Source organism: Homo sapiens, chromosome 2 (assembly GCF_000001405.40).
Source record: "Homo sapiens chromosome 2, GRCh38.p14 Primary Assembly".
Taxonomy (NCBI): Eukaryota; Metazoa; Chordata; class Mammalia; order Primates; family Hominidae; genus Homo; species Homo sapiens.
Window position 1 is genome coordinate 189,411,301 of NC_000002.12, and position 23,808 is coordinate 189,435,108.

The window sequence follows — 23,808 nt, forward strand, 5'->3', positions numbered from 1 at the left end:
ATGTGCTTTAAACCTAAGTTACAACGAATGTTCCTTAAGACTAGGACCTGCTTCAATCGTTTTTTTTATTCTAGCACAATACCTGAGATAGAATCTCAACAAATATCTTTTAAAAGAGAAAGGGAAGGGCAGAGCAAGAAGGAAAAGAAAGTAGTTAGGTGTTCATTCTAATAACTCCACCTACTTTTTTTTGGAAAATTATCAGAAGCACAAATTATCACATGGTTGGAAATCTATGAACTATCACCAGCACAATTCAGATGTCGGTAGACTTTCAAAGTATTTCACATATCAATATAGCATTTTAATATTTGGAACTATAGCAGTAAGAAGTTATATAGGTGTTGAATCAACATCTGACTATTACTGCAAGTCTTTGGGAAAATAGAAGTTCTGAGTTATTACTCAAATGATAATATCAATAAGATCTTGTTTGATTTTTTTTAAAAAGCACATGATTAGGGTGAACAGCTTTCTAATTAAAAAACAGTTAAACAAAACTTGGCATTTATAGGAAAGAAAATCATATTGTTTTTAAGAAAAGAGTTTCAAGTACTAGCTAACATTTACTTCAAGCAACAGTTTCCCAGGAATGAATTGCTACATACTAATGGGGTCAAAGACACTAGACGATTCTCCAGAGGCCCTTTTCTATGGAAAGGGGCTTCCAAAATAGTGGGAGTGGAAAAAGAAGCTAGGGAACTGTTTCTTCATGCACCAAATGCCTTCTCAGAGTACTAACATCTGTTTCAGTTTACATACTTTAAGTATGACTTTACACATGGAAATTAAACTTAGGCATCATGCCTAAGAAGAGGCCTGTCTGCAAAAGAACAACGTGTACTATCACCAGCTGGAATTTGTATAGGTCCACATTCTACAAGCACAATATCCTGTGAGCCGCAGTCCCAAAATCCAAATGTCACAAAACATCATCCTAACGTTCGTGAAATGTTTATAGTAGAGAGGGAAAAGACAGTGAGAAAGAGGAATATAATTGAGAAACAATATGGAGAAGTTCTAGAATTTAAGATGCAAGAAATACTTTTGTACATAAAGACCACTAAAAATCCAAAGATCTTTTTGCATTTATTTATATTAAGAAATACTCATTCTATAACATTCCACTAAGTTTATTTATTAGACATTTACAATATTTTTTGATTCACTAACAGAATAATTATAATCTCTGGTTAGGCAAGCATAATGCAAACCTGCAAAAATAATGATGCTCCTTTGCTGCCACCATGTGGTCTGTCTGTATTTTTGCAGTTGTGGCTTCAGTTTCTAAATAATTTCACACTTGGTTCTGAAGCCATCAACATCAGCTCAGATCTCTAGTATGAAAATACCATTAAAAACTTGAAGAATACAAGATCTTCTGCAATGTCATTTACATACCAATGAATTGCCAATCAATTGATAGTAAACAGGAGCCAACAATGTAGGAAGCATTGTATTATGTTACCTAGAAAAACAATACATTGTCTTGTGTTCAAAGAGCACACATCTCTTAACATCAAAACATAGAAAAATCAAGGACTAATACGCAGCGACTCAAGAATTATCATATAATTGGATGGCAGTGAGTCGTAAAGAAAACTTCCAAGTTCTCTGAGTGGAAAGTAGAAAGGTGCCTGAGAATGTTCGTGGAAGAGAATGGAAAAGTTGTATGGCTGTTAGAAGAGAGTTAGATAGATAGTATGAAAGCAAGAGAGCATTTTAGGTAGAGGTAACATTAAGTAAAGGTCCAGATGTAGAATCTTTAATGAATATTCACAGAATAATTTCTATAGTGAAGTTTATGAAGTCAAAACAAAGAAAATAGATTAGAAAGATAGGTCGGGTCAATTTATGACAAGCCTTTATTGCCAGACCAAGAAGCCTGGATTTTAGCCTATAGATCAGGGAAGCTATTGATTCAACATACAAATTTTTTCCCATTGTAGATATAATTCCTCTGCCACATGAACATCTATGAATGTATGTAAAAATAACTTATTTCCCAAACAGAGAATACTCCAGCAGTTAGGATCCTCTAATCACTCATCCCAAGTAAGTAATTTATGGTTACAAGAGCCCTGAAATCAAAGTCAACCAGTAAATCACTGCCAAATCTCCAGGGAAAAAAAATTAAATAAGTATTAAAAAGGATGACGACTGGGCCCAAGGAGATGTGAGACCTTCCTAATAGTCCACTGAGGTCTTCTGTTCTGAGAAGATAAGGTGTGCATTGCAGGGAAGAAGAAGAATTTTAACAAGGAAAACAAAAGAAATTTACGCTCATTAGAACCTTTCACAGCGAAGTACAATGTAATTTGTGTTAGGGAGGGGCCGGGTTCAGTAAAAAGGAATTAGCGGCCGGGACAGGCATGAAGTAGGACTCAGATGTCCAGGTAAAAGTAACAATCCCAGCATTGAATCCATTCACTTAAAATGATTGATGAAAGATTCACAAAAGAAAAACAGCTTCCTTGGCGTCATTTTTTTTTTTTTTTTTTTTTTTTTTGAGACTCAGTCTCGCTCTGTCACCCAGGCTGGAGTGCAGTGGCACAATCTCAGCTCACTGCAACCTCCGCATCCCGGGTTCAAGAGATTCTCCTGCCTCAGCCTCCCAAGCAGCTGGGATTACAGGCGCCCGCCACTGCGCCCGGCTAATTTGTGTATTTTTAGTAGAGACGGGGTTTCACCATGTTGGCCAGGCTGGTCTGGAACTCCTAACCTCAGGTGATCCGGCCACCTCCACCACCCAAACTGCTGGGACTACGGGCGTGAGCCACTGTGCCCGGCCTTGTGTGTCATATTTTATTGGATGCTATATTGATTTATTTTCAAAAATGAAGTTACAGAGCACCATGAGGAATAAGGAATCTCTGGAATAAAGTTCAAATAACAGCTCTTCAGTCTTCGCAAGTGTAAAATCAAAGGGGAAATTTACATACAACCCTCTTGAGGAAAAATAGTAATTATCAAAGAAATACTGTAAAAATTCATATTGTAAATATAAACATTTTCCTAATTGTAACATAATATGCACAGATGGTTCCTGCTCATTATTACAAAAACAGCTCTCTACATTAATATTCAAAATAGCAATACTCTTTCCTTTATTCTTGGACAGCTTTCAAACTGCTTTCTGGGACCCTAAAGACCCTAAGAATGTTTCCCTTCTAAGCTGGGCGCAGTGGTTCTCGCTGGTAATCCTAGCACTTTGGGAGGCCGAGGATCACTTTAGGTCAGGAGTTCAAGACCAGCCTGGCCAACACGGCAAAACCCCCGTCTCTACTAAAAATACAAAAATTAGCCAAGTGCGGTGGCATGCGCCTATAATCCCAACTACTCGAAGGCTGAGGCCTGAGAATGGCTTGAGCCCGGGAGACAGAGGTTGCATTGCAGTGAGCCGAGATCGCACCACCCCACTCCAGCCTGGGTGACAGAGTAAGACTCTGTCTCAAAAAAAAAAAAAAAAAAAAAAAGAATGTTTCCGTTCTAGAGTCTTCTACTCCTCAATGACTTTTCCTTAGGCAAAGGACACAACAGCATTAGATATTAACGTCTTTTCTTTAATTCTTATATTTTGTGGATACATAAAATTCATAGGCAGCGCTTCCTCCATATGACAGAAAAGCAAATATCCAAATATTAGAATTAAATAATAGGTGTGAACAAAAACAAAGGAATGATATTCCAAACTTCTATTAATAAGAAGCATTAGTGAACTATAGTGGAAAGAACTCTGGACTGGGTTTATCTTATTACTTTCTTTCTAGTCTCTTAAGTTAAAAACTTAATTATTTTCCATCGTCTTTGTGCTCTAATAAATGCCACTGAAAGATATAAACTTTCCTCTGAATATTGCTTTCTTTGCAGTTATGGTAAGTTAGCACTCCCATCATTTATTTCTAATAGTGATATGTTCTATTATGATGACATTTTAACTTCAGTTATTTAGGGTAAATTTTTTTAAATTTTCAAATAGATAATTTAATTTTGCTTTCCTCAATATTCTTTAGACAATTATTTATAATTTTGAATTTTCTTGAACCGTGGTCAGTAAATATGGCCTGCAGGATGTATGCTATTATCCTTTATGGTCTAAACGATGGTCTTTTTTTTAATATTCCATGTGCATTTCGGGAAAAAAGTATGTTGTCTATTGAATGTGTATGTAAATTAGATCAATCTAGTTAATTGTGTTATTGAAGAATTCTGCCTCTCTACATTTTTCTACTTGGTCAGTGGATTTGTAATTGTCAACTTCACCTTTAATTTCTATTGGTCCTGTTTTAAGTAGTTTGAAGCTATGTTGTTGAATCATAACATGTCCATAAAATATCTTCTTGATGGAATGGAATATATATACATTTTTCTTTTTTTTGGAGACAGTCTTGCTCTGTCGCCCAGGCTGGAGTGCAGTGGCACGACCTCGCCTCACTGCAAGCTCCGCCTCCCAGGTTCACGCCAGTCTCCTGCCTCAGCCTCCCAAGTAGCTAGGGCTACAGGCGCCTACCACCACACCCAGCTAATTTTTTTGTATTTTTAGTAGAGGCGGGGTTTCATCGTGTTAGCCAGGATGGTCTCGATCTCCTGACCTCGTGATCCTCCCACTTTGGCCTCCCAAAGTGCTGGGATTACAGGCGTGAGCCACTGCACCTGGCCAATGGAATATATTTTTAAGCAACATAAAAGTAACTGTTTGTTCCTTTGAAAATAATTTTCCCTGAATAATACTGATTTATTGTTAAAACTACATTCCTACAACAGGTGCTGGAGAGGATGTGGAGAAACAGGAACACTTTTACACTGTTGGTGGGACTGTAAACTAGTTCAACCATTGTGGAAGTCAGTGTGGCGATTCCTCAGGGATCTAGAACTAGAAATACCATTTGACCCAGCCATCCCATTACTGGGTATATACCCAAAGGATTATAAGTCATGCTGCTATACAGACACAAGCACATGTATGTTTATTGCGGCACTATTCACAATAGCAAAGACTTGGAACCAACCCAAATGCCCAACAATGATAGACTGGATTAAGAAAATGTGGCACATATACACCATGGAATACTATGCAGCCATAAAAAATGATGAGTTCATGTCCTTTGTAGGGACATGGATGAAGCTGGAAACTATCATTGCCAGCAAACTATCGCAAGGACAAAAAACCAAACACCGCATGTTCTCACTCATAGGTGGGAATGGAACAATGAGAACACATGGACACAGGAAGGGGAACATCACACACCGGGGACTGTTGTGGGGTAGGAGGAAGGGGGAGGGATAGCATTAGGAGATATACCTAATGCTAAATGACGAGTTAATGGGTGCAGCACACCAACATGGCGTATGTATACATATGTAACAAACCTGCACGTTGTGCACATGTACCCTAAAACTTAAAGTATAACAATAATAAAATTTTTTAAAAAAATCCTTTTATAGTATCTGTTATATTTTTTCCTGACTTTATTTCAAAACTTCTGTATTTTGTTCTAGACTATGTCTTTTGAAAACACATTTGTAGCCCACTGAATTTGCTCTCCTAATATTCTTTGTCTTTTTTTATTGGGTTGTTTAGGGGACTTTTGTTCAATGCATAAGATAAGAGCTTTTTAAATTATTAGACAAACCCTTTGTCATCTGCTTAAACATTTTTTTTCTAAATCTTTCATATGTTCACTTATTAATTTGTTTATGGTGTTTTTGCTACATAAAGGATTTTTATTTGTATAAAGTTAAAAATACATAGCTATTTTTTATGGCATAAGGATTACCAGCCTTGGTGAATAAGGTCATCTTTCCCCTAAATTTTAAACGTTCTTCTAGATTTCCTTGAAAATTTCCAATTGTTTTGATGTTGCGATTACTTAATTATTCCATCTGGAATTTATGGACTAAAACAGAAGTCTATTTTTATTTTATTGCAATTGTTAATCAGTTAAGATAGTACAACATATTACGGCATCACTAAATATGATTTCTTACAGAATTGATCTACCAACTTTGTCATATATAAAATTTCTGGAATCTATTTCTATATTAATTATTCCATTTTAATGATAATTTGTCTCTTTCTAGGATAATAGTGACTGTGACATGTTTTGATTTCTGGTAAGTTAAGTCTTCCTTACTATTCTTTTTTTTTCACATTTGGTTGACTATTCCATGGCTTTCATGTTTCTATATAAATTTCCAGATTATTTTGTTTAAACACAAATAAATCCCTGTTGGAATTCTAATTGGAACTGCATTTTAGTTATACATTAATTTGATGAGGGATTAATATTTTTATGATATATAACCTTCCCATTCAAGAATATAAAATGTTCTATTCACTATTTCTATATCAACTTTTTTTCATTCCCACATATGGATGAGAATATGAGATATTTGTCTTTCTTTGTCTGGCTTATTTCATTTAACGTGATGTCCTCCAGTTCCATCCATGTTGCTGCAAGTGACAGGATTTCATTCTTTTTATGGCTGAGTATTGTTCCATTGTGTGTGTGTGTATATATATATACACATACATATATGTGTATATATATATGCACACACACAATACTTTCTTCATTCATTGTTGGACACTTTGATTCCATATGTCAGCTATTATCATTAATGCTGCAATCATCATGGGAATGCAGATACCTCTTCAACATACTGACTTTGCTATTTAATTTATATTTATTTGTATTGAAATCTTGTTCATTTATTTTTTTAATTTGTAATATATTCATGTGGGACAGAATTCAAAATGTACAAAAGGAAGAGTTATCTTAAAAGATTATGAAGTATATGACTGATTTATGAACTCACCAATAATGAACAGCGAAAACACATGGATAAACAATTTGTAAAAGAAGAAAAAAAATGACATGTCTTTCCATTTGTTTAAATTTTCATTTTAATAAAAATTTGTTTTCTCAAATAATTTGTAATCTTCACTGTCATTTCCTGAAACTTTTCTATCATCTGCATAATGAGTTAATGGGGATATGATAAGAAAATCTTGAATGGTGGCACCAGTATCTATGACTCCTCCCTGAGGATGAAGTTTGGCTTTGGTTTATTATTTTGGAAAGGAGAAGGAGCTCCAAAAGTTATCACTTAGTCTTTTCTAACTCAGTGACCATGACCTACATGGAAAAAAGAGCTAAAATAGGATATCTGCTTTTGCTGAGTATACTATTCCAACTATAAGTTCAGGAACTGAGAAAATAACCACAGAACAGGTTTGTGGAGTCACTAGGCCCTTGTAAGATAGACATGGACACGAAGTCCATTTTCCTCTGATTTATGGAAAATAGTAGCTATGCAGGCCTTTAGAGATTATCAATAGTTCAGAGCCAGTATTAATATTCTCAGAGAAGTCTTTGTACTTCCTTTTCCCAGAGCACAATTATCCTGATAAATGGCCACTTGATCCTTTTAGGTAAGACTAGGGGAAAGATCTCTAGCATGTAATCTGATGTTATGGTTAGGTCTTTCCTCAGCAAGACTCAGTCCCTCTTTAATTCTAAGAATGAATACACCTGAGTATGGAAAATGAGAGAGGACCATAACCCAAGTCTGGGAATTGGGGGAGTAAATTTAGGCCTCTGTTCATAAGACCAAGGGATTTCTTGGCTATACAGATAAAGTATGACTTAGTGGGTGATCCAAATGTAATAGTTACAGGAACCTGAAGGCCAAATAGTTACCACCAAAACCCAAACCCCCAAGGGTAACCCACAATCAATACACAGAGCCCATCAGGAAAATCCTCTTGTTGATCCTCAGGAAGATGATTCTGAGAAGCATCTTCATGCTCTTTAAATGTTCTGGGTAGGACTGAGTCCACTTGCTCATGAGATGACCTCAATAATGTCCCTTATATTGACTTTTCTTTCTCTCATAATCTCTCTAGTCCCTCATTTCTGCTATCTAGAATTTATCTCCTAGTCTACCAATGTACAAGTTCTTATCCCTGGCCCTGTAAATTGCTAATTACAGTATTTTAACAATTAACAATGTACTCTACACGTACACAAAAGTCACTAATGCAGGAAAGAATACAATCATTAGTTTTCAATTTTTTTAGGCAATCTAGGAACAAGATGTTAAAATTCATCACAATATTACAAAACAAGTAGAACCACAACAACTGCCTGGAAATTGGTCTTGGTTTTATTTTTAAGGTTGAAAGTCAAATAAAAATAAAAAATTAGGCCAAGTACGGTGCTCACAACTGTAATCCCAGTACTTTGGGAGGCCAAGAGAGGAGGATCACTTGAGGTCAGGCATTCAAGATCAGCCTGGGTAACAGAGAAAGACCCCATGTCCACAAAATAATTTTTTTTTTAATTAACCAAGAGTGGTGGCACACGTCTATAGTCCTAGCTACTGGAAAGACTGAGGCAGGAGGATCGCCTGACCCCAGGACTTTGAGGCTGCAGTGAGCTATGATCCTACCACTGCACTTCAGCCTGGGCAACAGAGCAAGACCAAGAAAAGAAGAAAAACAGAAAAGAAAAGAAAAGAGAGGAGAGGAGAGGAAAGGAAAGGAAAGGAAAAGAGGTGAGAGGAGAGGAGGAGGAGGAGGAGAGGAGAGGAGAGGAGAAGAGGAGGAGGAGAAGAAGGAGAGGGGAGGAGAGGAAAGGAAAGGAAAAGAGGTGAGAGGAGAGGAGAGGAGAGGAGGAAGAGGAGGAGGAGAGGAGAGAGGAGGAGGAGGAGATGAGAGGAGGAAAAGAAAGAGAATAAGAAAGAGAGGGAAGGAAGGAAGGAAGGGAGGGAGGGAGGGAGAAGGAAGGAAGGAAGGAAGGAAGGGAGGGAGGAAAAATTACCAGTACCTTTAAAAACAGATATTAGAAATTCTCACTTTGGCTAATGCTGTCACACAATTCATTTTCAAACAGTGCATCCATTCTGCATGTTGAGTTCATGATTCCATGATTCCAAGTATTAATGGATAATGGAGAACTGATTTAATTCAGATTTTATGAATTATGAATTACTTAGTAAACATAATTAAATTTTAAGAATGAGGAAAAAAACCAGAGTAGACATCAGTGACATGTAATCAAGAATCTGGTGAAGTCCCACAGTATTTTGGAGAGCCAATTTGCTGTAAAATACAGGCATGAAAATAATACTGTATTATAGATGCCAGGAGTTTTCTCCATATTCACAATCATTTTAAGCAACTAGTCTCCAATCTCGATTAATTGTGCATCCCAATAGTTTTAAAAATAATTTTAGTATATGTCCCCCAAATATATGTATATTTATATATGTATAAATTAGATAAATAGGTCTGCACTAAAATATACAATATTTTAGTATTAAAATAAAATATAAATTTAAAAGAATGAAATCAGAGAAGCCACAAAGATAGATGAATGAAATCAGACCCTCAGTAGAGGCAGTGACTGACCACCCTACTCCAAAGGCAGAAAGACTATTCCTTAGAGCTTTCCTGTTCCCATCCTCCATCAGCCCCAACTATACTTTTTACAGTCTGTTTCCATAAGATTTCCCAAATCTCTTGTCCTCGCCACCTTTCAACTAAGAACATCAATTAAGGACATTTCTGTTTCTTACAACCAAATGATACCTAAAATAACATTTTACACGTAAACATTGTTCACTTATAAAGCATTGTTCTTGTCTTTAATTTAAATATATTTGAAATATTCTGATTAAAATAATGCTATTGTTTAATACTAAAGGAAACAGTAGAATAATCAGTATACTAATAAATTAATTTATTTTAAAAAGAGAGTTGTATGAGCTCACTAATCCAGGAATAATTTTAAAAGCTAAATTTGGCAATAAGCATTCTATTTCTTGCAATTTTTTTTAAAGTACTAATACTCTTTACTTAAAGATAAACACATGGCCCACCACACACCTACTAAATTAGGATATTTCTTTCTTATCTCTCTCCTGCTCTCAAATAACCTCACCTTACGAAACATAACTTGCAGGGAAAGGGAAGAGTAAGATGGCAGAATAGGACTCTCCACACAATCATCACCCCACAAAAAACATTAATTTGAACAACTATCCACGCACGAAATTACCTTCTCAAGTGCTAAGGAAAGGTGGTGAGAGATCACAGTACATGGTTATAGCATAATAATAATAAGAAAAGACACACTGAGGAGAGTAGGAAAGATAGTTTTATGTTACCTGCAGCACCCCTTCCCCAACCCCAGGTAGCACAGTGCAGTGAAAGCCACCATCTGCTTGGGGGAAAGAGAGAGAAGTAAGCAAAGGAATTTGCCATGGACACTAACACAGGGACCACCACAGTAAAAATCACTACCACACAGACCCCCACAGCCCCTGACTCCAGGCCAGTGCCCACAGACCTAGCCTCAATGACTGCCCAGGGACCAAGTGGGAACCACAGCTCCTGCAAGACAGACTCAATCTGCAGTCTGCATCACCACTGACCATCTACAGTGGCCTTGGGCCTTGGACAAATCTCAGTGGCAGACAGGAGGCAGACCTCAGCAGCTGTGGGCTTCACAGTCTTAGCAATGTACCAGCCTCTATGACTAAGGATTTCTAGCACATCCCAGCTCCACACCAGCTTCAGTAACCACAAGATTCCAGCCTGGCATTGTGCCAGCCATAGCAGTCCAAGCTTATGATGCTCCCTAGGACTGCAATGGCCACGGTGGTCCCAAGAATAGCAGCCATACCAGATGATCTGCCCAGAATCTCTGGACAGGCTTACTATTGGAAGGCATTCTTAGACAAATTCAGTCTATGAAGACTGGAATAAGTACCTACTTCTTCACATGTGCAGGCATTATCACATAGCCACAATGACCAAGAACATTTAGGAAAACATGACAACACCAGAGAGAAAAAATAAAGTGCCAGTGACTGGCCCTAAAGAGCTGGAGACATATGAACTGCCCGACAAAACATTTATAATAACTGTTTTCAGGAAACTTGGCAAACTTTAGGAAAATAGAGAGAGATAATTCAAAGAAATTAACAAAACAATAAGTGACCAGAATGAAAAATTTAACAGAGATTGAAATAATATTTTAAGAAACAGAAATTTTGGAACTAAAAAAATGCAATGAACAAAATGTAAAATATAATAAAGAGCTCAAACAGCAGAATTGATCAAGCAGAAGAAAGAATTTGTAAACTCAAAGACTTCAATACCCTGCTTTTAGCAATGAACAGATAATCCAGAAAGGAAATCAGTCAGAAAGCATAGTATTTAAACTACTATTTAGGTCAACTGAACCTAATGGACATATGCAGAACACACATTCTCTCAATGGCACATGGAGCACTCTCCAGTATAAATCATGTGTTAGGCTACAAAACAAGTTTTAAATTCAGTAAGATTGAAATCACATTAAGCATTTTTTCTGACCACCTGGTATAAAATTAGAAGTCAATAACAGGAGGAACTTCAGAAAATTCACCCAAGGCCAGGCGTGGTGGCTCACACCTGTAATTCCAGCATTTTGGTAGGCCAAGGCGAGCAAATCACGAGGTCAGGAGTTCGAGACCAGCTTGACCAACATGGTGAAACCCCGTCTCTACTAAAAATACAAAAATTAGCCAGGCATGATGGCACACGCCTATAATCCCAGCTACTCAGGAGGCTGAGGCAGGAGAATTGCTTGAACCTGGGAGGCGGAGGTTGTGGTGAGCCGAGATTGTGCCGTTGCACTCCAGCCTGGGCAACAAGAGCGAAACTCTGTCTCAAAAAAAAAAAAAAAAAGAAAGAAAAGAAAATTCACCCCAAAAAATGGATATTTAAAAACATACTGCTAAACAACAAATGGGTCAATGACAAAATTAAAAGGAACTTTAAAACATATCTTGAGACAAATGGAAATGAAAACACAATATCAAAAGCCATGGAGATGAAAGAAATCTACACTGAAAATCATATCAAAAGCTATGGGATATAACAAAAGCAGTTTTAAGAGGGAAGTTTTCAGCACTAAGTGCCTACATCAAAAAATAAAAATTTCAAATAAACAACCTAACATTGCACCTTAAGGAACTAAAAAAATAGGAAAAAATTAAGCCCAAATTTAGTAGAAAGAAGGAAATAATAAAGATCAGAAAAGAAATAAATGAAATAGAAACTAGGAAAATAATAGGAAATTTTTTTAATGAAGAGTTAGTATTTTGAAAAGATTAGAAAAAACATTTAGCTAGACTAAGGAAAAAAGAGAAGAAAACAAAAATAAAATTAGAAATGAAACAAAAAATATCACAGTGGATAACACATAAATACAAAGGATAATAAGAGACTATTATGAACAATTATATGCCAACAAATTGTGTAACACAGAGGAAATGGATAAATTCCTTGACACATACAAGATTGAACTATAAAGAAAAGGAAATTCTGAACAGATCAATAACAAGAAAAGTGATTGAATTTGTAATAAAATGTCACCTATCAAAGAAAAACCCAGGACCTGGTGGCTTCATTGCTGAATTCTACCAAACCTTTAAAGGATAATTAATACCAATCCTTCTCAAACTCTTCCAAAAAATTGGAGAGGAGGGAATACTAATAAATGTATTTTATGAGACTAGCATACCAAATCAGACGAGGGGGAAAAAAAAAAGCTACAGGCCAACATCCCTGAGGAACAAAGATGCAAAAATGCTCAACAAATTACCAGTAAAACAAATTAAATAGTATCTTAAAAAGATCCTTCACCATGATCAAGTGGGATTCATCCCAGAAATGCAAGGATGATTCAACATATGCAAATCAATAAATGTAATACACCACATTAACAGAATGAAAGACACAATTATATCATTTCAATATATTCAGAAAAAGCACTTGACAAAATTTAACATATTTTAATGATTAAAAAACTGTGAATAAATTAGGTACAAAAGAAATGTACCTTAACACAATAAAGGCCATAGCTAACAGAATATTCAATGGGGAAAAATTAAACCTTTTCTTTTAATACCTGGAACAAGACAAACATGCTTATTTTCACCACTTTTATTCAACATAGTACTGGAAGTTCTAATGAGCCGTTAGGCAAAGGAAAGAAATAAAAGCCATCCAAATTAGTAAGGAAGAAGTTGTCTCTATTTGCAGATGACATGACTTTATGTACTTTTTTTAAAAACTAAAAAATCTTCCAAATAATTGTTATAACTAATAAACAAATTCAGTAAAGATGCAGGATACAAAATCAACATACAAAAGTCAGTGGTACTTCAGCAATCTACTTGAAAGGGAAATCAAGAAAACAATTCCACTTATAGTAGCTACAAAAGAAATAAAATACTTAGAAATAAATTTAACCATGGAGATGAAAGAAATCTACACTGAAAATCATAAAACATTTATGAGATAAATTGAAGAAGGCATAAATAAACAGAAAGGTACTTGTATTCATGGACTGAAATAACTAATATTGTTACAATGTCCACACTACCCAAATATATTCAATGCAATCCTTATCAAAATAGCAATGGCATTCTTTACATAAAGAGAAAAAACATTCTAAAATTTGTGTGGAACAAAAAAAGACCTGATTAGCCAAAATCATCTTAAGCAAAAAGACCAAAGCTAGAGGCATCACAGTACCTGACTTCAAGATATATTACAAAGCTCTAGTAACCCAACAGCCGTGGTACTAACATAAAAACAGATATATATGCCAATGGAACAAAATAGCCCAGAAATAAATCTGCTCATTTGCAGCCAACTTATTTTTGACAAACTACACACAGTGGGGAAAGGACAGTCTCTTCAATAAATTGTATTGGGAAAAATGGACATCCTCATGCAAAGAAGGAAATTAGACTCTTATCTCACAGCACATGCAAAACCACAAGGAGGTATCATCTCACTTCTGTTAGAATGACTATTATCGAAAAGACAAAAGATAACAAAAGTTGGCAAAGATGTGAAGAAAAGGAAATTCTTGCACACTGTTGGTGGGAATGCAAATTAATACAACCATTATAGGAAACAATATGGAGTTTCCTCAAAAAATAAAAAAATGAAACTATTATATGATCGAGCAATCCCACTACTGGGTATATAGCCAAAGAAAATGAAATCAGTATGTCAAAGAGCTATCTGCACTCTCGTGTTTACTGCAAGCAACATAGCTGAGATATGGAATCAATTTAAGTATCCATAAACAGATGAATAGAATTTTTTAAAGTGGTATATATACACAATGAAATACTATGCAGCCATAAAATAAGAATAAAATTCTGTCATTTAATACAACACGGATAAACCTAGAGGACATTATGCAAAGTGAAATAAAACAGGTGCAGAAAGACAAATACCACATGATACAATTTGAATTTCTGTCCCCACCCCAATCTTATGTTGAAATGTAATCCCCAGTGCTGATTGTGGGGCCTTGTGGAAGGTGCTTGAATCATGGGGGCAGTTTCTCATGAATGGTTTACATCATCCCCCTGATGCTGTTCTCGTAACAGAGTTCTCATGAGATCCAGTTGTTTAAAAGTGTGTAGCACCTCCCTCCCATTCTTGGTCCTGCTCCTGCCATGTAAGATGCCTCACTCCCCCTTTGCCTTCTGCTATAATTGCACATTTCCTGAGGCCTCCCCAGAATCTGAGCAGATGCCAGAATTATGCTTCCTGTATAGCCTGTGGAATCCTGAGCCAATTAAACTTCTTTTCTTTATAAATCACCCAGTCTCAGATATTTCCTTATAGCAGTAAATACAGAAAATTGGTATTCAAGAGTGAGGCATTGCTATAAAGATACCTGATAATGTGGAAATGACTTTGAAACTGGGTAATGGGCAGGTTGGAAGAGTTTGGAGAGCTCAGAAGAAGACAGGAAGACAAGGGAAAGTTTGGAACTTCCTAGAGACTTGATAAGTTGTTATGACCCAAATGCTGATAGTGATATGGACAAGGAATTCCAGACTGAGGAGGTCTCAGATAGAAATTAGGACCTTACTAAGCTAAAGGGAAAAGTCAAGCTGGGAACTGCTTAGGACTGCCTCCCATTCTATTCAAAGTCACCCCTCTGCTCACTGAGATAAATACATTTCTAATTGCATCCTTTGGGGAGGCTAATCAGAAACTCAAAAGAATGCAACCACTTGTCTCTTATCTGCCTATGACCTGGAAGCCCCCTCCCTGCTTAAAGTCTTACCATCTTTGCTTCGAGTTTTCCCATCTTTTCAGACGGAACCACTGTTCATCTTACATATGTTGATTGATGTCTCATGTCTCCATAAATGTAAAGCCAAACTGTGCTCTAACCACCTTGGGCACATGTCATCAGGACCTCCTGAGGCTGCGTCATGAGCATGTGTCCTCAACCTTGGCAAAATCAACTTTCTAAATTAACTGTCTCAGATTTTCAGGGTTCACAAACTTCAGTAAAGGTCACTTCCGCTATGCTTTAGCAAAGAATCTGGCTGTATTGTGCCCTGCTCTAGCGATGTGTGGAACTTAGAACTTAAAAGGGATGATTTAGTGTATCTGGCAGAAGAAATTTCTAAGCAGCAAAACATTCAAGATGTGACCTGGCTACCTCTAACAACCTATGCTTCTATGCATGAGCAAAGAAATGACCTAAAACTGAAACTTATATCTAAAAGGGAAGCAAAGTGTAAAAGTTTGGAAAATTTGCAGCTTTGCCATGTAGTACAAAAGAAAAGCCCATTTTCAGGGGAGGAATTGAAGCAGCCTGCAGAAATTTGCATAACTAAAAGGAAGGCAAGTGCTGATAGCCAAGACAATGGGAGAAAGACCTCAAAGGCATTTCAGAGACCCTCATGACAGCCCCTCCCATCACAGGCCCAGATGTCTAGGAGGGAAGAATGGTTTATTGGGCCAGGCCCAGGGCCCCTCTGCCCCATGCAGCCTCAGGAAACTGTTCCCTACATCGTAGCCACTCCAGCTCCAGCTGTAGCTCAAAGGGGCTCAGGTACACCTCAGGCTATTGCTTCAGAGAGCGCAAGCTGTAAACCTTGGTAGCTTCCACATGGTGTTAAACCTGTAGGTGCACAGAGTCCAAGAGTTGAGGCTTGGGAGCCTCTGCCTAGATTTTAGAAAACGTATGGAATAGCCTGAATGTCCAGGCAGAAGCCAGCTGCAGGGGCAGAGCCCTCACGGAGACCCTTTACTAGGACAATGCAGAAGGAAAATGTGGGGTTGGAGCCCCCACACAGAATCCCCAATGGGGCACTGCCTAGTGGAGCTATGAGAAGAGGACCACCATCCTTCAGACCCCAGAATTGTAGCTCCACCAACAGCTTGGATCATGCATCTGGAAAAGCCACAGACATTCAATGCCAGCCCATGAGAGCAGCCAGAGTGGGTGAACCCTGCAAAGCCACAGGGACAGAGCTTCCCAAGGCTTCGGGAGCCCACCTTTTGTACCAGCATGCCCTGAATATGGGACAAGGAGTCGAAATACATTATTTTGGAGCTTTAAGATTTAATTACTTTAAGCTCTCAACCCCCTGCTGACTTTCAGACTTGCACAGGCCTATAGACTCTTTCTTTGGCTGATTTCTCCCTCGGAATAGAAGTAATTACCCAATACCTGCCCTGCTGAGTTTCAGACTTGCATGGGGCCTGTAGCCCCTTGGTTTTGGCCAATTTCTTACATTTGGAATGAAAGCATTTACCCAATGCCTTTACCCCCATTGTATCTTGAAAGAAACTAGCTTGTTTTTTATTCTACAGGCTCATAGGCAGAAGGGACTAGTCTTGCCTCAAAGGAGACTTTGGACTGTGGACTTTCGAGTTAATGCTAGACTGAGTTAAGACTTTGGGCCATTGTTGGGAAGGCATGATTGTATTTTGAAATGTGAGAGGGGCATGAGATTTGGGAAGCGGCAGGGTGAAATGATATGGTTTGGTGTGTGTACCTGCCCAGATCTCATGTTAAAATATAATCCCCAATGCTGGAGGTAGAAGGTGACTGAATCATGGGGGTGGTTTCTCATGAATTATTTAGCCCTATACCCCTAGTGCTATTCACATGATAGAGTTCTCATGATATCTGGTTGTTTAAAACTGTGAGCCAGGCATGGTGGCTCACACCTGTAATCCCAGCACTTTGGGTGACCAAGGCAGGTGGATCATGAGGTCAGGAGTTTGAGACTAGCCTGGCTAACATAGTGAAATCCCATCTCTACTAAAAATACAAAAATTAGCTGGGTGTGGTGGCACGCACCTGTAGTCCCAGCTATTTGGAAGGCTGAGGCAGGAGAATTGCTTGAACCCAGGAGGCGGAGGTTGCAGTGAGCCAAGACTGTGCCACTGCACTCCAGCCTCAGTGACAGAGTGAGACTCCGTCTGAAAAAAAAAATAAAAAAGTATGAAGCACTTCCCCATCTCTCAGTCCTGCTTTTGCCATGTAAGATGTCTCACTCTCCCTTTGCCTTCTGCCATGATTGCAAGTTTCTGAGGCCTCCCAGAAGCTGAGCATATGCCAGAATTATGCTTCCTGTACAGCCTGCAGAACCATGAGCCAATTAAACCTATTTTCTTTATAAATTATCCAGTACCAGCTATTTCTTTATAGCAGCACAAGAATGGCCTAATACACCACATGATCTCACTCATAATGAGGCAACTTAAAAAGTCAATGTCAAAAAATAGAAAGTAGAATGGTGGTTACCAGAGGCTGCAGTGATTGTGGGAGTGGTTGTTAGGGAGATTTTGGTCAAAGAACACAAAATTACAATCAGGCCGGAAGAATAAATTCAAGAGGGCTATTGTACAGCATAGGGACCATAATAAATGGCAATATGTTGCACTCTTGAGGAATGCTAAGAGAGTCAATGTTAAGTGTTCTCAACACAAAAATGATAACCATGTGAGTTGATACATATATATTAATTAGGTAGGTTTAACCATTCCACAAGGTATATGTGCTTCAAGTCATCGTGTTGTACATAATAAATACATAGAATTTTATCTGTCAATTTTTAGAAAGTGTTAAATTTAAAAAAAAGAAAGGAATAACTTACAGCATCAGTATCTAAATCCTTGTGGTCCTCAGCTTCATCTTCTGTGTCCCAAATTCTTATGTGGGAGAATTTGATTGGCTCCTTGGTTCACATACCCTCTCTAATTACCTGTGTCTTGGAGGGATTTCTCTGAGACAGTGGTTTCAAAGAAGGTTGACTCTAAGGTGATGCCTGGGGGTATGAGATTTTAAAAGTATAACTTCAGTTTCACCTTCATTGCTTATTTCATTTACTTCTCATCTGGCAGGTTCAGGGGTTGCCCTACTTAAGAGTCTCATGTCCCACAAGACACTATATCTCTTGTAGCAACTCCACAGGCTTCCAGGATTCACATGAGAGACATACCCAATTACAAGAGTTAACACACTCAGGGAAGCCCAAATTATAGCACTCTCATCAGATATTTATGGGACATTTATAATTCCTCCTTGTTTAGTTGCAATTTATCAATCAGGGATAATATTACCATAGGCAATATTGACTGTAACATAGTTGACATTCTATCTTCAGGTATTTATGGGACATTTATAACTCCTTCTTGTTTGGTTGCAATTTATCATTCAGGGATAATATTACTGTAGGCAATACTGACTGTAACATCGTTGACATTCTATCTTCATCTGATTTCCAGTGGAACAGAGAGAAAATTAAGTGAAGGTCACATTCTTATGGTATAAAAGGAAAAGGCTTTATTAATTTTTACTAACTCTCCCCCACAGTTAGTTCTTTAATGTATTTACTGGCATTGACAGATTTGCTTTGAAGTTGCTCTCAAAGAAGTAAAACACGGGCCACAGCATATTAGTGGAGTTAGGCCAACTCCTCTCCCTTGCACTGCACCTACCTCCCAATTCTCCTGCCCAAGAATGTTTAGGGAATATCTTGATTATCCATAAATATCACAACTTGCACAGGACTCTGAAGTCCTACAGAAAGAAAACTATCCCTATTCACAGTTGAGTTGAGATATAGATACTCATCTAATGGAGGGGTTCTAAAGAAGATGTGTGAAACAAAGGAAGCTAAACTAAAAGGAGATACAGCTACATGAGTGAGAGGAAAAGATACCCAGGACTAACAAAGATGTTAGGGCCTGAGGTCACCTCACCCAGGAAACACAAGGGGTTGGGGGATTTCCCTTTGCTAGCCAAGGGAAGCCATGACAGACTGTACCTGGAAAAACAGGACACTCCTGGCCAAATACTGTGCTTTTCCCAAGGTCTTAGCAACTGTCAGACAAGGAGATTCTCTCCTGTGCCTGGCTCCGCAGGACCCACACCCACGGAGCATTGCTCACTGCTAGTGCAGCAGTCTGAGATCAAACTCAGCCTGGCTGGAGGAGGGGCATCCTCCATTGCTGAGGCTTGAGTAGGTAAACAAAGCAGCCAGAAAGCTTGAACTGGGTGGAGGCCCACTGCAGCTCAGCAGGGCCTACTGCCTCTATAGACTCCACTTCTGTGGGCAGGGCATAGCTGAACAAAAGGCAGCAGACAACTTCTGCAATCTGGCAGCTCTGAAGAGAGCAGTGGTTCTCCCAGCATGGTGTTTGAGCTCTGAGAACAGACAGACTGCCTCCTCAAGTGGGTCCCTGACCCCTGTGTAGACTAACTGGGAGACACCTCCCAGTAGGGGCCTACAGACACCTCATATAGGTGGGTGCCCCTATGGGACAAAGATTCCAGAGGAAGGATCAGGCAGCAATATTTGCTATTCTGCAATATTTGCTGTTCTGCAGCCTCTGCTGGTGATACCCAGGCAAACAGGGTCTGGAGTGGACCTCCAGCAAACTCCAACAGACCTGCAGCTGAGGTACCTATTAGAAGGAAAACTAACAAACAGAAAGGAATAGCATCAACATCAACAAAAAGGATATCTACACCAAAACCCCATCTGTAGGTCACCAACATCAAAGACCAAAGGTAGATAAAACCAAAAAGATGGGGAGAAACAAGAGCTGAAAAACTGAAAATTCTAAAAACCAGAGTGCCTCTTCTCCTCCAAAGGATCGCAGCTCCTCACCAGCAACAGAACAAAGCTGGACAGAGAAAGACTTTGATGAGTCGACAAAAGTAGGCTTCAGGAGGTCAGTAATAACACACTTCTCCGATCTAAAAGAGCATGTTTTAACCCATCACAAAAAAAGCTAAAAACCTTGAAAAAAGGTTAGTTGAATGGCTAACTAGAATAAACAATGTAGAGAAGACCTTAAATGACCTGATAGAGCTGAAAACCATGCCACAAGAACTTCATGACACATGCACAAGCTTCAATAGCTGATTCAATCAAGTGGAAGAAAGGGTATCAGTGATTCAAGATCAAATTAATGAAATAAAGCGAGAAGACAAGGTTAGAGAAAAAAAGAATAAAAAGAAACGAACAAAGCCTCCAAGAAATATGGGACTCTGTGAAAAGACCAAATCTACGTCTGATTGGTGTACCTGAAAGTGATGGGGAGAATGGAACCAAGTCCGAAAGCACTCTTCAGGATATTATCCAGAAGAACTTCCCCAACCCAGCAAGGCAGGCCAACATTCAAATTCAGGAAATATAGAGAACACCACAAAGATACTCCTCGAGAAGAGCAACCCCAAGACACATAATTGTCAGATTCACCAAGGTAGAAATGAAGGAAAAAATGTTAAGTGCAGTCAGAGAGAAAGTTCAGGTTACCCACAAGAGGAAGCCCATCAGACTAATAGCAGATCTCTCAGCAGAAACCCTACAAGCCAGAAAAGAGTGGGCGACAGTATTCAACATTCTTAAAGAGAAGAATTTTCAACCTAGAATTTCATATCCAGCCAAACTAAGCTTCATAAGTGAAGGAGAAATGAAATCCTTTACCGACAAGCAAATGCTGAGAGATTCTGTCACCACCAGGCCTGCCCTACAAAGCTCCTGAAGGAAGAACTAAACCAGTACCAGCCACTGCAAAAACATGCCAAATTGTAAAGACCATCAATGCTAGGAAGAAACTGCATCAATTAACGGGCAAAATAACCAGCTAACATCATAATGACAGGATCTAATTCACACATAATTATATTAACGTTAAATGTAAATGGGCTAAATGCCCCAATTAAAAGACACGGACTGGCAAATTGGATAAAGAGTCAAGACCCATCAGTGTGCTGTATTCAGGAGACCCATCTCACATGCAGAGACACACATAGGCTCAAAATAAAGGGATGGAGGAAGACCTACCAAGCAAATGGAAAGCAAAAAAAGCAGGGGTTGCAATCCTAGTCTCTGATAAAACAGACTTTAAACCAACAAATATTAAAAGAGACAAAAATGGCCATTACATAAAGGTAAAGGGATCAAATCAACAAGAAGAGCTAACTATCCTAAATATATCTGCACACAATACAGGAGCACCCAGATTCATAAAGCAAGTCCTTAGAGACCTACAAAGAGACTTAGACTCCCACACAATAATAATGGGAGACTTTAACACCCCACTCTCAATATTAGACAGATCAATGAGACAGAAAGTTAACTAGGATATTCAGGAATTGAACTCAGCTCTGCACCAAGTGGACCTAATAGGCATCTACAGAACTCTCCACCCCAAATCAAAAGAATATACATTATTCTCTGCGCCACATCGCCCTCATTCTAAAATTGACCACATAATTGGAAGTAAAACACTCCTCACCAAATGTAAAAGAACAGAAATCACAACAAATGGTCTCTCAGACCACAGTGCAATCAAATTAGAACTCAGGATTAAGAAACTCACTCGAAACCGTGCAACTACATGGAAATTGAACAACCTGATCCTGAATGACTACTAGGTAAATAACGAAATGAATGCAGAAATAAAGATGTTCTTTGAAACCAATGAGAACAAAGATAAAACGTACCAGAATCTCTGGGACACATTTAAAGCAATGTGTAGGGAGAAATTTATAGCACTAAATGCCCACAAGAGAAAGCAGGAAAGATCTAAAATCGACACCCTAACATCACAATTAAAAGAACTAGAGAAGCAAGAAGAAACAAATTCAAAAGCTAGCAGAAGGCAAGAAATAACTAAGATCAGAGCAGAACTGAAAGAGATACAGACACAAAAGACCCTTCAAAAAATCAATGAATCCAGGAGCTGGTTTTTTGAAAAGACCAACAAAATTGATAGACCACTAACAAGACTAATAAAGAAGAAAAGAGAGAAGAATCAAATAGATGCAATAAAAAATGATAAAGGGGATGTCACCACCAATCCCACAGAAATACAAAGTACCATCAGAGAATACAATAAACAACTCTATGCAAATAAACTAGAAAATCTAGAAGAAATGGATAAATTCCTGGACACATACACCCTCCCAAGACTAAACCAGGAAGAAGTTGAATCTCTGAATAGACCAATAACAGGCTCTGAAATTGAGGCAATAATTAATAGCTTACCAATCAAAAAAAGTCCAGGACCAGATGGATTCACAGTCGAATTCTACCAGAGATACAAGGAGGAACTGGTACCATTCCTTCTGAAACTATTCCCATCAACAGAAAAAGAGAGAATCCTCCCTAACTCATTTTATGAGGCCAGCATCATCCTGATACCAAATCCTGGCAGAGACACAACAAAAAAAGAGAATTTTAGACTAATATCCCTGATGAACATCGATGCAAAAATCCTCAATAAAATACTGGCAAACCAAATCCAGCAGCACATCAAAAAGCTTATCTGCCATGATCAAGTTGGCTTCATCCCTGGGATGCAAGGCTGGTTCAACATACACAAATCTATAAACTTAATCCATCACATAAATAGAACCAATGACAAAAACCACATGATCTCAATAGACGCAGAAAAGGCCTTCGAAAAAATTCAACAGCCCTTCATGCTAAAAACTCTCAATAAATTAGGTATTGATGGGATGTATCTCAAAATAATAACAGCTATTTATGACAAACCCACAGCGAATATCATACTGAATGGGCAAAAACTGGAAGCATTCCCTTTGAAAACTAGCACAAGACAGGGATGCCCTCTCTCACCACTCCTATTCAACATAGTGTTGGAAGTTCTGGCCAGGGTAATCAGGCAAGAGAAAGAAATAAAGGGTATTCAATTAGGAAAATAGGAAGTCAAATTGTCCCTGTTTGCAGATGACATGATTGTATATTTAGAAAACCCCATTGTCTCAGCCCAAAATCTCCTTAAGCTGATAAGCAACTTCAGCAAAGTCTCAGGATACAAAATCAATGTGCAAAAATCATGAGCATTCTTATACACCAATAACAGACAGAGAGCCAAATCATGAGTGCACTCCCATTCACAATTGCTTCAAAGAGAATAAAATACCTAGGAATCCAACTTACAAGGGATGTGAAGGACCTCTTCAAGGAGAACTACAAATCACTGCTAAACGAAATAAAAGAGGACACAAACAAATGGAAAACCTTTCCACGCTCATGGAGAGGAAGAATCAATATTGTGAAAATGGCCATACTGCCCAAGGTAATTTATAGATTCAATGCCATCCCCATCAAGCTACCAATGATTTTCTTCACAGAATGAGAAAAAACTACTTTAAAGTTCATATGGAACCAAAAAAGAGCCCTCATTGCCAAGACAATCCTAAGCCAAAAGAACAAAGCTGGGGGCATCACGCTACCTGACTTCAAACTATACTACAAGGCTACAGTAACTAAAACAGCATGGTACTGTTACCAAAACAGAGATATAGACCAACGGAACAGAACAGAGGCTCAGAAATAACACCACATGTCTACAACCATCTGATCTTTGACAAACCTGACAGAAACAAGAAATGGGGAAAGGATTCCCTATTTAATAAATGGTGCTGGGAA

The 23,808-nt window shown here is 38.2% G+C and overlaps 1 protein-coding gene across 3 annotated transcripts in view, besides 1 other annotated feature; it reads right to left on the bottom strand.

Annotated features, from left to right (window-relative positions):
* The window catches only part of COL5A2 (collagen type V alpha 2 chain), a 409,214-nt gene that overhangs the window by 379,403 nt on the left and 6,003 nt on the right, over nt 1-23,808 (bottom strand). For 2 of the 3 annotated variants that reach the window (XM_011510573.4, XM_047443251.1), the window contains exon 2: nt 17,992-18,162. The exons of the other annotated variant lie outside the window; for it this stretch is intronic. The gene's annotated coding sequence lies outside the window, so the exon portion shown is untranslated. The remainder of the gene's footprint in view (nt 1-17,991; nt 18,163-23,808) is intronic. 3 annotated transcript variants of the gene reach the window in all.
* Nucleotides 15,396-15,998: an enhancer, noted in NCBI's record as "OCT4-NANOG hESC enhancer chr2:190291422-190292024 (GRCh37/hg19 assembly coordinates)". NCBI's record gives its function as "activates a minimal SCP1, AML or CMV promoter by ChIP-STARR-seq in naive and primed H9 embryonic stem cells {active_cell/tissue: H9 hESC(naive and primed)}" and the evidence as "EXISTENCE:reporter gene assay evidence [ECO:0000049][PMID:30033119]".